We start from the raw sequence: 17,511 nt of genomic DNA, 5'->3' as shown, positions 1-17,511 counted from the left end.
CCACCTTCCTTTTCTGTTCTCCTGAGTAGGAGGCAGAAAAAAAAAAACAGGACACAGGGGAGAAGCACACGAGGACATCTGTGTACAACACTCAAAAGAAAGTGCAAGAATGCACCTGGAAAAATTCATCTTAAAGAAACCAAGTTTTGTGAAAACAAAAAAAATCTTGGATTTTGCAGCTACTAATTTACCTGTGACCTCAGGCGGATTTCTCGTCTGGAACCTCATCTTTCTGAGGACCTCCGAGCCCTAACGTGAAAACGACCTGTGGGCCCCAGAGAGGCAAGGGATGACCTTCAACTGGGTCCAAACCCCTAGTCCGGGGAGCAAAGATCTGGGGTAGGGGAGTAGTGGAGAGGGGAGCTTGAGTACAAAACTACGTGTATATGTGCATTTTTCTGGGAAAGAGTCCAGAGCTATCAATGGGGTCGGTGGCTCAAAGGTCCTGAAGACCTAGATCTCAGATATTTTCAGTTTCGAAACTGCAAGGTTCCAGGACCACCTAACCCAGCCCGCACCTTCCCTTCCTGCCCTCAGCAAGTCAGAATCTCCCGAGCCGGAGGAAGAGGAGACTGGGCCTCGTCTCTCATCTCGCTGCGCCCGGTCCGGGGGTTTACCTGCTCACAGGCTCTGGCCTGCGGCTCCTCTACTCCTCGTTCTCCACCTTTAGGCGAGCACTGCCGGGCCACGGACCATGGGCGCCGCCATGTTGTCAAAACAGCAACTTTATCGATAGCGTCCGCAGTCGACACAGACAGACGGGGGCGGGACCGGGGAAGGGAGGAGAGCAACCCAGTCCTCGACTCCCAGCAGCCCGCCGGGCGGGGCGGGGCGTCTGCGCGGCGGCCCGGGGCTCCGCCTCTCGGCCTCTGGCACGCCCTTTAACTGCTCTGGTGTCGGCAAAGCTCTAGACGTCTGGGACTCAAATTATTACAGTTATAGCAGACGGATGAAAGTCGTTGATTTAGTGGCCTCAGAATAAACTAGGCGGCAGCTGGTGAAAAGAGCCCTGGGATATAGCCCAGACCCCAGGGTTCGAATCCCAGCGTAGCAACAACTGCCTCCTGGGCTTGGGCAGGTCTCGACCTCTTGATTCCTAATTGACTGCATGATGAGTGAGGCACCTTCTTCCACCATATTGCGTAATCCTCTAGCCCTGGGGCGGGGGGTGGAATTACCTGGCCAAGAATAGGTTTGGGGTAAGGTACTTTTCTCACCTGGCAAGTGTGCTGGGAGTCAGGAAAGCATGATGCCTTCCCTTTCCTCGAGGAGTTTGTATATCCCATGCCCCCACTGCCACACACCCGGCAAGTGTTTCATGCTTGTAATAAATCAACAAATCAAAGAATTGCAAAGAACCAGTGGTGTTAAAGCATAATTTTCAAAAAGGTAAAACCGATTTAAAGGAGAACTTGAAGAACTCATATATGTGGGCAGTCAAGAATACTGAAATGAATTTGCCAATTGTGCAAAATTGGTTAATATCCTATAGGACAGGAAAAAGTAATGTTTGGGAGCCATTTCTTTCCTACAGGCTTGAAATCGTATCTCTACCAAACAAAATTCGTCCCATGATTACAGTAGTCCCTCCTATTCTCACGAGACATGTTCCAAGACCTTCAGTGGATGCCTGAAACTGCGGCGGTACTGAACCCTATGTATACTGTTTTTCTTGCCTATGCATACATACCTATGATAAGGTTTAATTTGTAAATTAGACACAGTAAGATATTAACAACAATACCCAATAATAAAATAGAACAATTATAACAATATGCTGTAATAAAAGTTATATGACTGTGGTCTCTCTTGAAACAGCTTATTGTACTGTCCTCACCCTTATTGTGATCTGTCGATCTGATAGCCACGATGGCTACTAAGTTGGGTAGCTATATAGCGTGGATATGCTGGACAAAGGGATGATTCACAATGGTTCACATCCCAGGCAGGAGGTAGCAAGATTTCATCACTCTACTCAGAATGGCATGCAACTTAAAACTTATGAATTATTTATTGCTGAAATTTTTCATTTAATATTTTTGGACCTTGGTTGACTGCAGGTAACTGAAACCTCAGAAAGTGAAACTGAAGATAAGGGGGACTACTGTATCCATATTCTACATTTTTATTTATTTATTTATTTATCTGGGACAGGGTCTCACTCTGTTACCCAGGCTGGAGTGCGGTGGCACGATCTTGGCTCACTGCAACCTCCACCTCCTGGGTTCAAGCAATTCTCCTGCCTCAGCCTCCTAAATAGCTGGGACTACAGGTGCACACCACCATGCCCGGCTAATTTTTGTATTTTTAGTAGAGAAGGAGTTCCCCATGTTGACCAGGCTGCTCTTGAACTCCTGACCTCAAGTAATCCGCCTGCCTTGGCCTCCCAAAGTGCTGGGATTACAGGCATGAGCCACCACACCCGGCCTCATATTCCATATTTTAGCTTCTATTCTTACGAAGATGAACAATAGCTAGTTAACAGAGAGGCAGGCAAATGTATGCACTCCTATAGCATCAGATAATCCCCCAATACTCCACCCAAGCGACATACAGTATTCTCTTTTGCCCATTTCCATGTCTTTAACAAGGTTTCCTAATAGTTCAACATCCAAATACCTTGTTATTCAAGGTGTGGTCTCCAGCATCAGCCTCACCTGGGAATTTGCTGGAAATGAGAAACTCAGTCTCTGCCCTAGACCTGCTGAATCAGACTCTGAATTTTAACAAGACTCCTAACTGATCCTAGACACATTCAATTTGAAGACTCACTGTCCTAGAATGTGAGAGCTCCTTTCTAGTCCAATCTCCTCGTTTTACAGATAAATAAACTGAGGCCCAAAAGAGCTGACTGTTTTGCTCAGGTCATAAGGCAAATTAGTCAAAGATTTGTTATTCAAAACTGGATCTCCATTCTGGCAGAATAGTGCCCTTCTCAAGTTGCAGAATGGAAGATCATAAAGAGCTTAGAACTTCTAGTCCAATCCTCTTCAAAGACAAGGACACTGAGGTCCAAAGGTTGGACACAGCTTACCTAAGGTCACATATGTAGTTGATGATGGAGACAGGGTTCCAACCAGGTCCCACTCCGAACACCAGATGCTTAGTTTAAACTGATACCATGGAAACATTGGCTGGCATATTAACCTGCCACACTTGATGCAGTTTAGCCTTCAGGTATGTCACGTGCATCCATATATAACTAGAGTGCCCCTTTCTCTAATTTACCCAAAATACAGCCTCTAACCTTATTTTGGTTGAAAATCTGTCTTGCCTATCGTGAATTACATTTAACATTGACATTTCTAGAAGATTATTTCAAATAGAATTTTTCTAAAAGTCACTTACTTTACTGGAAACTTGCTATTTTTACTTCAAAGAAGGCAGTAGCATGAAAGTAAATCCTTTTCACTCTTAAAGGGCTTGCTTGAATACATTATTAAATGAAGCAGACAAGTTGCTAGGCTGTGTAGAATGTTACCTCATTGGTTTGTTTTTTAAAAAAGGAAAGGAAATAAAAGAAAGGCATTTGTTAGTATATGCATAGAAAGAAATATAAAAAACTATATCCCAAACTATTTCCTGTGATGATCTCTAGGGATAGTAGGATTTTATGGACCTTTCTATTAACAATGTTTCTGCATTCTTTTTGCTTTTTCTATTAGCTGTATGGGGCTGAATAATGCCCCCCAAAGATAGATCCAGGTTCTACTCCCTGGAACCTGCGAATGTCACCTTATATAGCAAAAGAGACTTTGCACATGTGATTATATTAAGGATCTTGAGATAGGGAGATTATCCTGGCTAATGCCAGGTGGCCCTAAATGCAATCACAAGGGTCCTTATAAGAGGGAGGCAGAGAGAAATTTGAGAGAAGAGGCAAGGTGATCACTGAAACAAGATGCTACAATGCTGTTTTAGAAGATGAAGGAAAGGACCATGAGCCAAAGAATGTAAGGAGTGCAGCTCATGCAGTTGAAGATGAAAAAGGCAGGAATACACATTTTTCTCATGTGATCCAGCAACTCTACTTCTGAGTAGATACCCAAAAGGTTTGAAAGTAGGGCCTCAAAGAGATATTTGTACACCCATGTTTATAGCAGCATTGTTCACTACAGCAAAAAGGTACAAGTAACCGAAGTGTCCATCCACGGCTTAAATGTATATAAAAGAAAATGGTATATACATTCAATGGAATATTATTCAGCCCTTAAGGAAGGAAATTCTGACACACACTACACATGGATGAATCAAATGCTCAGTGAAATAAGGTGGTCACTGAAGGACAAATATTGTATGATTCCTTTCATATAAGGTATTTAGAGCCATCAAATTCTAAGATGGAAAGTAGAATGGCCATTGCCAGAGGATAGGGTAATGGGGAGGGAGTGGGAAGTTATTATTTAAGGGATACAGAGTTCCAGTTTGGGAAGATAAAAAGAGTTCTGGAGATGGAAGGTGGGGATGTTTGCACAACAATGTGAATGTACTTAATGTCACTGAACTGTACATTTAAAAATGGTTAAAATGGTAATTGTCATTATATATATATTTTACCATAATTTAAAAAAAAAAGAAAACAGGCCAGGTGTGGTGGCTTATTCCTATAATCCCAGCACTTTGGGAGGCCAAGGCAGGTGGATCACTTGAGGTCAGGAGTTTGAGACCAGCCTGGCCAACAAGGTGAAACCCTATCTACTAAAAATACAAAAGTATCCAGGCGTAGTGGTGTGCACCTGTAATCCCAGCTACTTGGGAGACTGAGGCAGGTGAATTGCTTGAACCAGAGAGGTGGAGGTTGCAGTGAGCCAATATCACATCATTGCACTCCAGCCTGGGCAACAAGAGCGAAACTCCATTTCAAAAAAAAAAAAAAAAAAAGAAAAAGAAAACAGATTCTCTCCTAGAGCCTCCACATGGAATGAGTCCCTGCCAACACCTTGATTTCTGCCCAGTGAAACTGATTTGGGATTCTCTTACATCCAGACTTGTAAGATAATAAATGCATTCTTTTTTTTAAGCCACCAAGTTTGTGGTAATTTGTTATAGCAGCCATAAGAAACTAATACAGTTTCTGTATTAGCTGGGGATTAGTTTTCTGGGATGAGTTTGTGTTAGTTTTGGGATTTTATATCCCAAAAAGAGTGTAAAGATTTCTTTGTTAAATAAAGGAACTGCTACCCATCACCATTTGTTTAATTTTATGCCTTTCACAGTGTTGTTTGTTATTAACACTCTAACTTATGGATCTTCAGAAATATTTTTACTTGCCACCGTCTCATTAAAGGAGCTTGGCTCTCCAGAGTCACACCCATAACACTATTTGTCCCCTACGGCCAGGACTCAACTTGAAGGACAAGTCAGAGTCAAACAATACTAGAGATCATAAACAGTCCTCAAAGAAAGCCTTCTTCATATTTGATAAGAGTTGTAATAGCTGTGATAGTGGGCATCCTTGTCTTATTCCATTAGTTCCTCACTTGAATGGGGTTGCCTCTAATGTTCTACCTTTAAATATGATGCTTGCTTTAAGTTTTTCTTAAATACTCTTTGTAGTATCCCACCTCTAAGATAGCCTCCAATGAGCTTCACCTGCTGGTATTCATGCCCTCATGTAGTTTCTTCCCACATTGTACCACGATTAGTTAGTCTGACCAATACAATACAGCAGAAGTAATAGTATCTCACTTTCTAGATTAGGTTATAAGAGATATTGCATCTTCTATCTAGGTCATTCTCACTGTGTGTGTCTTGCATCACTTACCCTGGAGGTAAGCCACATCATTAGCCTATAGAAAAGGCTATATGCTGAAGAAATGAAGCCAACTGCCAACAGCCAGGTCCATGTATAATGGACCCTCCAACCCCATGTAGTCTTCAAAGACAGCAGCCCCAGCTGACAGTTTGACTGAGACCTCTTGGAGACCCCGAGGCAGAACCACCCAGCTAAGCCATTCCCAGAAGCTGTGTGAGATTGTGTTTGTAGTTTTAAGCTGCTATGTTTGGGGGATAATTTGTTTCTCAGAAACAGATAAAAAATAGTCTTTATCACAAGTTTCCTTCTATTACCTAGTCTAGGATCCAGCCCAGGGACATTTTGCATTAAATTATTATGTCTCCTTTGTCTCCTGCAAGCTGGGACAGCCTCTCTCTCTTTTTTGCCTTTCATGACCTTGACACTTCTGAAGAGGTGTACTAATCAGGTATTTTGTAGAATGTTCCTCCTGCTTTATTCCGGTTTTGTATTTTGGCAGCAATACCATGGAAGTGAAGGCAGTGCCCTTCTTGGGTGACTTTAAAAGGAATAGAAAATGCATTAATCTGGGTGCAGTGGCTGATGCCTATAATGCCAACACTTTGGGAGGCCAAGATGGAAGGATTGGTTGAGCCCAGGAGTTTGCCACCAGCCTGGACAACATAGCAAGACCTTGTCTCTACAAAAAACTTTTTAAAAAATTAGCCAGGGAGGGTGTTGCATGCCTGTGGTCCCAGCTACTTGGGAGGCTGGAGTGGGAGGATAGCTTAAGCCCAGGAGTTTGAGGCTGCAGTGAACCATGACTGCCCTGCTGTACTCCAGCCTGGGCTACAGTGAGGCCCAGTCTCAAAAAAAAAAGAAAAGAAAAGAAAAATGAAAAAGAAAATCCATGAATACATTTGTAAGAAGGTGGAGATAATCAAATACAAGGACAAATTGATGATGCAGGAAAGGGAGGAAGTAACTGGAGGAGAGAAGTCTGCGAAAAGGTAAGAATCTCTGAAAAAATGCTAAGCTCGTTGAGGTGGACTTTAATATTTTATTCTTTGTATTAAGGTACTGAAGTTTTTACAACAGACAGGTATTACTTTTGTGATTAAAAAACAATAAGTCTATTCATCATGGTGGGTGGGAGGCAGGACTAGATTGCAGCTCCAACTCGGAAGGACAGAGCAGCATGCTGAGGCTTGCATAGGGAATTTTAGCTCCAGAACGACTGCAAGAACAAACCTGGAATCCCGAGAGGACCCACAGACCCTCTGAGGGAAGTGGACTGCTCCTGCAGGACCTAGGAGACACCCCAAATGCTGTGAGTGCCCAAACTGCTAAAGTGGGAAACGGAGATCCTCTGCTCCCTACTACACACCCCCACTGGAGAAACTGAAGGTCTAGTTTGTGGGGAAAGTTTCCAACCTTACCTGGAGCTGAGTCAATTTAGAGTGCCGAGCAAAATAAAGGGGTAGAAGAAGCAACAGGAAAGGCCCTGGGAGCTCACTGGGTCCCCAGGCAGGCCATTCCTGCCTAGCACCACAGGGATCCTTCAGGAGAGTGGCCAGAGGCACGGGGGGAAATGCCACAGGGAGAAGGAAATCTCCAGCTTAACTTTGTAATAATTTGAACCAGGCGAGAAGCCTTCTGGCCAGAACTCAGGGGAGGGTGTGAATCTGGTGTGCAGACTCCACAGGTGGGGGAAAAACCAAAGCCCTTTTCCTTCGCAGCTGGGAGGTGGGTAGCCTGGCGCAAGTTCTCAAGCCCTGCTCACCCACCACCTGGAAACAGACTCAGGGCTGTTAGCAGGGGCACAGTGAGAGTGAGACAGGCCCTTCAGATGGCATGGGAGCTGGGTGAGGCCTATGACTGCCGACTTTCCCCCACTTCCCTGACAACCTGCATGACTCAGCAGAGGCAGCCATAATCCTCCTAGGTACACAACTCCACTGACCTGGGAACCTCACTCTCATCCCCCACAGCAGCTGCAGCAAGACCCACCCAAGGAGACTCTGAGCTCAGACACGCTTAGCCCTGCCCCTAGCTGATGCGCCTTCCCTATCCACCCTGGTAGCTGAAGACAAAAGGCATATAATCTTGGGAGTTCTAGGGCCCCGTCCACTGCCGGTTCCTTTCCATACTACCACAGCTGATGCTCTCTGGAAAGTGTCACCTCCTGGCAGGAGGCCAACCACAGCACAAAAATAGAACATTAAACCGCCAAAGCTAACAACTTTCACAGAGTCATTTCACCCCCCCACCACCTCCACCAGAACAGGTGCTGTATCCATAGCTGAGAGACCCATAGATGGTTCACATCACAGGACTCTGTGCAGACAACCCCCCCATGCCAGTCCAGAACCAGGAAGTCTTGCTGGATGGCTAGGCCCAGAAGAGAGATAACAATCACTGCATCTTGGCTCACAAGAAGCCACATCCATAGGAGTAGGGGGAGAGTATTACATCAAGGGAACACACTGTGGGACAAAAGAATCTAAACGACAGCCTTCAGCCCTAGACCTTCCCTCTGACAGAACCTACCCAAATGAGAAGGAGTCAGAAAACCGGATCTGGTAATATGACAAAACAAGGCTCTTTAACACACGTCCCCTCCCCCCCCAAAAAAAAATCACACTAGCTCACCAACAATGGATCCAAACCAAGAAGAAATCCCTGATTTACCTGAAAAAGAATTCAGGAGCTTAGTTATTAAGCTAATCAGGGAGAAACCAGAGAAAGGCGAAGCCCAATGCAAGGAAATCCAAAAAACAATACAAGAAGGAAATAGATACCATAAAGAAAAAACAATCAAAACTTCAGGAAACATTGGACACACTTTTAGAAATGCAAAATGCTCTGGAAAGTCTCAGCAATAGAACTTAACAAGTAGAAGAAAGAAATTCAGAGCTTGAAGACAAGGTCTTCAAATTAACCCAATCCAACACAGACAAAAAAAGAATAAGAAAATATGAACAAAGCCTCCAAGAAGTCTGGGATTGTGTTAAACAACCAAACCTAACAATAATCAGTGTTCCTGGGGAAGAAGAGAAATCTAAAAGTCTGAAAAACATATTTGTGGGAATAATCGAGGAAAACTTCCCTGGCCTTGCTAGAGATCTGGACATCCAAATACAAGAAGAATAAAGAACACCTGGGAAATTCATCGCAAAAAGATCATTGCCTAGGCACATTGTCATCAGGCTATCTAAAGTTAAGATGAAGGAAAGAATCTTAACAGCTGTGAGATAAAAGCAACAGTAACCTATAAAGGAAAACCTATCAGATTAACAGAAGATTTCTCAGCAGACACCCTACAAGCTAGAAAGGATAGGGGCCCTATCTTCAGTCTCCTCAAACAAAACAATTATCAGCCAAGAATTTTGTATCCAGCGAAACTAAGCATCATATATCAAGGAAAGATAACCTTTTTCAGACAAACAAATGCTGAGAGAATTCACCACTACCAAGCTGACACTAAAGGAACTGCTAAAAGGAGCTCTAAATCTTGAAACAAATCCTGGAAACACATCCAAACAGAACCCCTTTAAAGCATAAATCACACAGGACCTATAAAACAAAAATAGAATTTAAAAAACAAAAATAAAAGACAAAAAAACCAAGTTACACAGGCCTCAAATAGCACAATGACTGGAATGGTACCTCACATTTCAATACTAACATTGAATGTAAATGGCCTAAATGCTCCACTTAAAAGATACAGACCTGGCCAGGTGTGGTGGCTCACGCCTGTAATCCCAGCACTTTGGGAGCCCAAGGTGGCAGGGTCACTTGAGGCCAGGAGTTTGAGACCAGCCTGGCCAACATGGTGAAACCCCTTCCCTACTAAAAATACACAAGTTAGCCAGGTGTGGTGGCATGCACCTGTAATCCCAGCTACTTGGGAGGTTGAGGCAGGATAATTGCTTGAATCTGGAAGGCAGAGGCTGCAGTGAGCCGAGATTGTGCCACTGCACTCCAACCTGGGTGACAAAGTGAGACTCCGTCTCAAAAAAAAAAAAAAGAAAAATAAAGAAAAAAGAAAAGATACAGAACAGCAGAATGGATAAGAACTCACCAATAAACTATCTGCTGCCTTCAGGAGACTCATCTAACACATAAGGTCTCACATAAACTTAAAATAAAGGGATGGAAAAGGCATTTTATGCAAATGGACACCAAAAGTGTGCAGGGTTAGCTATTCTTATATCAGACAAAACAAACTTTAAAGCAACATCAGTTAAAAGAGACAAAGAGGGACATTATATAATGGTAAAAGGCCACATCCAACAGGAAAATATCACAATCTTAAACATATTTGCACCTAACACTGGAGCTCCCAAATTTATAAAACAATTACTAATAGACCTAAGAAATGACATAGACAGCAACACAATAATAGTGGGGGACTTCAGTACTCCACTGACAGCACTAGACAGGTCATCAAGACAGAAAGTCAACATAGAAACAATGGATTTAAAGTATACCTTGGAACAAATGGAATTAACAGATATATACAGAACATTTCATCCAACAACTTCAGAATACACATTCTATTCAACAGCACATGGAAATTTCTTCAAGATAGACCATATGATAGGCCACAAAACGAGCTTCAATAAACTTACAAAAATTGAAATTATATCAAGCACTTTCAGACCACAGAGGAACAAACCTGGAAATCACCTCCTAAAGGAATGTTTAACACCATGCAAACACATGGAAAAGAAATAACCTGCTCCTGAATGAGCACTGGGTCAAAAACGAAATCAAGATGGAAATTAAAAAATTCTGCAAACTGAACAACAATAATGACACAACCTATCAAAACCTCTGGGATACAGCAAAGGCCATGCTAAGAGGAAAGTTCATAGCCCTAAACACCTACATCAAAAAGGCTGAAAGACCACAAACTGACATTCTAAGGACACACCCCAAGGAACTAGAGAAACAAGAACAAACCAAACTCAAACCTAGCAGAAGAAAGGAAATAACCAAGATCAGGGCAGAACTAAATGAAATTGAAACAAAAAAAATACAAAAGATAAATGAAATTAAAAGCTGATTATTTGAAAAGATAAATAAAATTGATAGACCATTAGCAAGATTAACCAAGAAAAGAAGAGAGAAAATCCAAATAACCTCATTAAAAAATGAAATGGGAGATATTACAACTGACACCAATGAAATACAGTAGATCATTCAAGGCTACTATGAACACCTTTGCACACATAAACTAGAAAACCTAGAAGAGATGGATAAATTCCTGAAAACATACAGCCCTCCTACTTTAAATCAGGAAGAATTAGATAGCCTGAACAGACCAGTAACAAGCAGCGAGATTGAAATGGTAATTTAAAATTTTTCTACAAAATAAAGTCCAGGACCAGATGGATTCACAGCAGAATTCTACCAGACATTTAAAGAAGAATTGGCACCAATCCCTTTGACACTATTCCACAAGAAAAAGAAAAAGGGAACCCTCCCTAATTCATTCTATTAAGCCAGCATCACCCCATAACCAAAAAAGAAAACTACAGTTTGATATCCCTGATGAACATAGACACAAAAATCCTTTCCAAAATACTAGCAAATCAAATCTAACAACATATCAAAAAGATAATACACCATGATTAAGTGGATTTCATACCAGGGATGCAGAAATGGTTTCACATATGCAAGTCAATAAATATCATACACCACATAAACAGAATTAAAAACAAAAATCACATGATTATCTCAATAGATGCAGAAAAAGCATTCAACCAAATCCAGCATCCCTTTATGATTAAAACTCTCAGCAAAATCGGTATACAGGGACATGCCTATTACATACAATGTAATAAAAGCCATCTATGACAAACCCACAGCCAATATAATACTGAATGGGGAAAAGTTGAAAGCATTCCCTCCGAGAACTGGAACAAGACAAGGATGCCCACTCTCACCACTCCTCTTCAACATAATACTAGAAGTCCTAGCCAGAGCAATCAGACAAGAGAAAGAAATAAAGGGCATTCAAATTGGTAAAGAGGAAGTCAAACTGTCACTGTTTGCTGAAAACATGATCATTTACCCCGAAAATCCTAAAGACGGCTGGGCATGGTGGCTCACACCTGTAATCCCAGCACTTTGGGAGGCTGAGGTGGGTGAATCACAAGGTCAGGAGTTTGAGACCAGCCTGGCCAATACAGTGAAACTCCATCTCTACCAAAAATACAAAAATTAGCCAGGTGTGATGGTGGGCACCTGTAGCCCCACCTACTTGGGAGGCTGTGGCAGGAGATAATTGCTTGAACCCAGGAGGCGGAGGTTGTAGTGAGCCAAGATTGCTCCACTGCACTCCAGCCTGGGTGACAGAGCCAAACTCCGTCTCAAAAGAAAAGAAAAGAAAAGAAAAGAAAAGAAAAGAAAAGAAAAGAAAAGAAAACCCTAAGGACTCCTCCAGAAAGCTCCTAGAACTGATAAAAGAACTTAGCAAAGTTTCCAGATACAAGGTCAATGTACACAAATCAGTAGCTCTTCTATACATCAACAGCGACCAAGTGGAGAATCAAATCAAGACCTCAACCCCTTTTACAATAGCTGCCAAAAAATAAATAAATAAATAAAATAAAATACTTAGGAATATACCTAACCAAGGAGGTGAAAGATCTCTGTAAGGAAAACTACAAAACACTGCTGTAAGAAATCACAGATGACACAAACAAATGGAAATATGTTGGGAACAGGCCCCCCAGAATCTGGCCATAAACTGGCCCCAAAACTGGCCATAAACAAAATCTCTGCAGCACTGCGACATGTTCATGATGGCCATAATGCCCACGCTGGAAGGTTGTGGGTTTACTGGAATGAGGGTAAGGAACACCTGGCCCACCCAGGGCGGAAAACCCCTTAAAGGCATTCTTAAACCACAAACAATAGCATGAGCGATCTGTGCCTTAAGGACATGGTCCTGCTGCAGATAACTAGCCCAACTCATCCCTTTATTTCGGCCCATCCCTTTGTTTCCCAAAAGGGATACTTTTAGTTAATCTAATATCTATAGAAACAATGCTAATGACTGGTTGGCTGTTAACAAATACATGGATAAATCTCTGTTCGAGACTCTCAGCTCTGAAGGCTGTGAGACCCCTGATTTCCCACTTCACACCTGTATATTTCTGTGTGTGTGTCTTTAATTCTTCTAGCGCTGCTGGGTTAGGGTCTCTCCAACTGAGCTGGTCTCAGCAGAAATACATCCCATGCTCATGGATGGGTAGAATCAATATTGTGAAAGTGACCATACTGCCAAAAGCAATCTGCAAATTCAACGCAATCCTCATCAAAATACCACAATCATTCTTCACAGAATTAGGAAAAACAGTTCTAAAATTCATATAGAATAAAAAAAGAGCCTGCATAGCCAAAGCAAGACTAAGCAAAAAGAACAAATCTGGGGGCATCACACTACCTGATTTCAAACTATACCATAAGGCCATGGTCACCAAAACAGCATGGTACTGGTATAAAAATAGGCACATAGACCAATGGAACAGAATAGAGAAACCAGAAGTAAACCCAAATACTTACAGCCAACTGATCTTTGACAACGCAAACAAAAACATAAAGTGGGGAAAGGACACCCTTTTCAACAAATGGCACTGGGATAATTGGCTAGCCACATGTAGGAGAATGAAACTGGACCCTCATCTCTCACCTTATACAAAAATCAGCTCAAGATGGATTAAGGACTTAAACCTAAGATGTGAAACTATAAAAATTCTAGAAGATAACATTGGAAAAACCCTTCTAGACACTGGCTTAGGCAAGGATTTCATGACCAAGAATCCAAAAGAAAATGCAATGAAAACAAAGATAAATATTTGGGACTTAATTAAACTAAAGCGCTTTTGCATGGCAAAAGGAACAATCAGCAGAGTAAACAGACAACCACAGAGTGGGAGAATATCTTCACAATCTATACATTTGACAAAGGACTAATATCCAGACTCTATGATGAACTCAAACACATCAGTAAGAAAAAACAAACAATTCCATCAAAAAGTGGGTAAGGACATGAATAGACAATTCTCAAAAGAAGATATACAAATGGCCATGAACATATGAAAAAATGCTCAACATCACTAATGATCAGGAAAATTCAAGTCAAAACCACAATGTGATACCACCTTACTCCTGCAAGAATGGCCATAATCAAAAAGTCAAAAAACAGTAGATGTTGGTGTGGATGCAGTGATCAGGGAACACTTCCACACTGCTGGTGGGAATGTAAACTAGTACAGCCACTATGGAAAACAGTGTGGAGATTCCTTAAAGAACTAAAAGTAGAACTACCATTTGATCCAGCAATCCCACTACTGGGTATCTACCCAGAGGAAAAGAAGTCATTATATGAAAAAGATACTTGCACATGCGTGTTTACAGCAGCACAATTCACAACTGCAAAATCGTGGAACCAACCCAGATGCCCATCAATCAACGAGTGAATAAAGAAACTGATATATACATATGATGAAATACTGCTCAGCCATAAAAAGGAATGAGTTAATGGCATTTGCAGCAACCTAGATGAGACTGGAGACTATTATTCTAAGTGAAGTAACTCAGGAATGGAAAACCAAGCATCGTATGTTCTGACTGATATGTGGGAGCTAAGCTAAGAGGACACAAAGGCATAGGAATGATACAATGGGCCAGGCAAGGGTGGCTCACGCCTGTCATCCCAGCACTTTGGGAGGCCGAGGCGGGTGGATCATGAGGTCAGGAGATCGAGACCATCCTGGCTAACACGGTGAAACCCCGTTTCTACTAAAAATACAAAAAATTAGCCGGGCATGGTGGTGGGCGCCTGTAGTCCCAGCTACTCAGGAGGCTGAGGCAGGAGAATGGCTGAACCCGGGAGGCGGAGCTTGCAGTGAGCCGAGATCGCACCACTGCACTCCAGCCTGGGCGACAGAGTGAGACTCCATCTCAAAAAAAAAAAAAAAAAGAATGATACAATGGACTTTGGGGACTTGAGGGGGAAGGATGGAAGGGGAGTGAGGAATAAAAGACTACAAATATGGTGCAGTGTATACTGCTCAGGTGATGGGTGCACCAAAATCTCACAAATCACCACTAAAGAACTTACTCATGTAACCAAATACCACCTGTACCCCAATAACCTATGGAAGAATAAAAATAAATAAATAAAAATAAATAAATGCTTTAAAAAATAAGTATTTATTAGTTTTTAACTTTAAGCTTAGTCCTTTTTCAAAAATTACACTATCTTGGTTTTCCACATCATAGGAAGCTTCTGTAGAATGTGTTTGAAATGTTTGTTCCTTGGTGCCATAAAGAAATAGCACTTGAACATAAATTTAATTTATTTAGTAAGGCCATTTTTACTTCCTGCAGAAAGGGTACACTTGCTAGCAGTTTTGCCACAAAAGTACACTGAACAAAGGAAACAGGGTCATTTATAACCTGACACATTCACCCTACTGCTGTGTCTGGTTTCCACTGGCTGGAGCGGGACCTCACATTCTGTATTTGTCCTGATTGGCTAGCAACTTAGAACTTTTTAAAAGAGGCAAAGGTAGAAGGGAACAAAGGAAGGAGGAAGTAACTTGTGGAATGCTGAGAAAGGTAAAAACACTTTCAAGTAAGGAAGAGGAACAGGCTATGACCTAATGCTTGCTTGGACCAGTATAAGCATGCTAGGGCAAATATTTAAGCTAAATTGTGGGAGCTAAGAACATAAAGTACATTGATTTCCTTATTATGGCTAGCAGATATTTAAGAATGTTAGCACAGGTCTTTCAATAAATTTTGCTTCTAAGAGAAGTTACTATTTATTCCTAATTAGATGGGGAGGAAAGTCTTTGAAAAGGAACCTCTACTTTACTTTTTACACATGGACACCCGCAAAATTGACTTTCTTCCCAATGTAATTACCTGTTTTCTTTTATTGCATTTGATCTTCAGCCTGAACCACCGCACATCTCCCACCCTTGTGTCTCCCCCTCCAGCTCTGTCGTCCTTCTCTGCTTGTCTCCTTTGCCTTGGTTTTCATTCAGCCAATGCTGCAAACCCCGCAACAGGCAGGCCCCGCATCAGGAAATGGGCCTACAGCGATGAACTGGCCAGGCTCTCTGCCCTCCAGGGAATCTTTGTGTCTAATTCTACTCCATGACTGGGTGCCTCTGCCTGTCTTCCCATCTGTGTGTCTTTCATATTCTGGAACCTGACCCTCCAAGTCTCTCTCTCTCTCTCCCTCTTTCTCTCTCTATCTCTCTTTCTCTCCTCTCTACTGTTGCTTCCCAACCACCCTCTCAGATGGTCTTTGTGGTCCCCACCATGCTACCTCCTCACCCCCTTCCTACCTCACCTTGCCTCACCTACTCTGTTGGAACCTGCCAGGGTTTAGGCATTCTGGATTAATTTAAGTAGTATTTAAAATTTCTTAATGATCAATTTGCTGAGTTATTTGTGGAATCCCTTAACATCGTGTCACTTGAATCAGTGTGACATTATTTCTCTGCCCTCTGTTCATTTTCCCTACTTCTTGCTGCTTGCTCTGCACTCTATTTGGCTAATATAAAAGCCTGTGGCAAACATCTCCAGGAATGGGAATCTTTATTGCTTTGACCATCTCATCCCCTTAAGGTAAAAACAAGACTATTCCTCCTTGCTTACCCCTCTAGGTAAGGCAAACTCACTAGAAATGACCTAGAAGTGTAAGAGTAATACATAATTCCAACTTGGTATTTATTTCCATGCTTTAACCAGGTATATTCTTACCTGAGCTGTCACATTTTATTTTATTTTATTTATTTTGAGATGGAGTTTGCTCTTATTGCCCAGGCTGGAGTATAATGGTGCCATCTCGGCTCACCAAAACCTCCGCCTCCAGGGTTCAAGTGATTCTCCTGTCTCAGCCTCCCAAGTAGCTGGGATTATAGGCATGCACCACCACATCTGGATAATTTTGTATTTTTAGTAGAGACAGGATTTCTCCATGTTGGTCAGGCTGGTCTCGAACTCCCGACCTCAGGTGATCCACCCGCCTCGGCCTCCCAAAATGTTGGGATTAGAGGTGTGAGCCACCTTGCCTGGCAGCTGTCACATTTTAGATGTTGATTTAGATCTTCTGGGAACAACTTTCAGTCTCCCAGTATGGAGATGAAGGCAAACCTCAAGATACATGCTACTATATGAATTACTTTTCAATAAAATTGCCCCAGCTGTGATAACCAAATCGCTTAAGGTATAGATGGGCTTATCATCTATTGTTTCCTAGCATCTATTCCTCCCTCTTTCCTAATCATCACTTTTGGAATTCCCTTTAGGAAACTACCCCTTGACCCAATTCTGGGCCATTTAGTCTATGGACTTGACCTGCATCCCCAGGTCTAAGGTGCGGTGTAAACTACTCAGCTCATTCTATCCCAGGAACACAGAGACAGTTCAGTCAGAAACATGACCTAAGCCAGAGCAATCAGGGGGAAGCACAGGACTTCTGCTAGGAATACTAGATCCCAGATTCTCTTTCCTTCTGTGTGTAATAAAAACCTTAGGAGCTGCTGCAGCCATCCCAGAACCGAACCGCTGCTGCAACAAATATGGAAGTGCAGATATCTCTTTGATATACTTATTTCCTTTCTTTTGAGTATATACCCAGCAGTAGGATTGCTGTATCATATGGCAACTCTATTTTTAGTTTTTTGAGGAACCTTCAAACTGTTCTCCATAGTGATTGTACTAATTTACATTCCCACCAACAG

General features: G+C 42.2%; 1 protein-coding gene across 6 annotated transcripts in view, besides 1 other annotated feature; it reads right to left on the bottom strand.

The window, feature by feature from the left end:
• LARS2 (leucyl-tRNA synthetase 2, mitochondrial) overlaps positions 1–722 on the bottom strand; it is a 160,832-nt gene extending 160,110 nt beyond the window's left edge. For all 6 annotated transcript variants that reach the window (NM_015340.4, XM_017006042.2, NM_001368263.1 and 3 more), the window contains exon 1: positions 618–722. The gene's annotated coding sequence lies outside the window, so the exon portion shown is untranslated. The remainder of the gene's footprint in view (positions 1–617) is intronic.
• Positions 746–955: a silencer, noted in NCBI's record as "silent region_14282". NCBI's record gives its function as "represses an Ori minimal core promoter by ATAC-STARR-seq in GM12878 lymphoblastoid cells {active_cell/tissue: GM12878}" and the evidence as "EXISTENCE:reporter gene assay evidence [ECO:0000049][PMID:35858748]".

This window comes from Homo sapiens, chromosome 3, assembly GCF_000001405.40.
Source record: "Homo sapiens chromosome 3, GRCh38.p14 Primary Assembly".
Taxonomy (NCBI): domain Eukaryota; kingdom Metazoa; phylum Chordata; class Mammalia; order Primates; family Hominidae; genus Homo; species Homo sapiens.
This window is presented reverse-complemented; position numbering and strand designations above follow the sequence as displayed.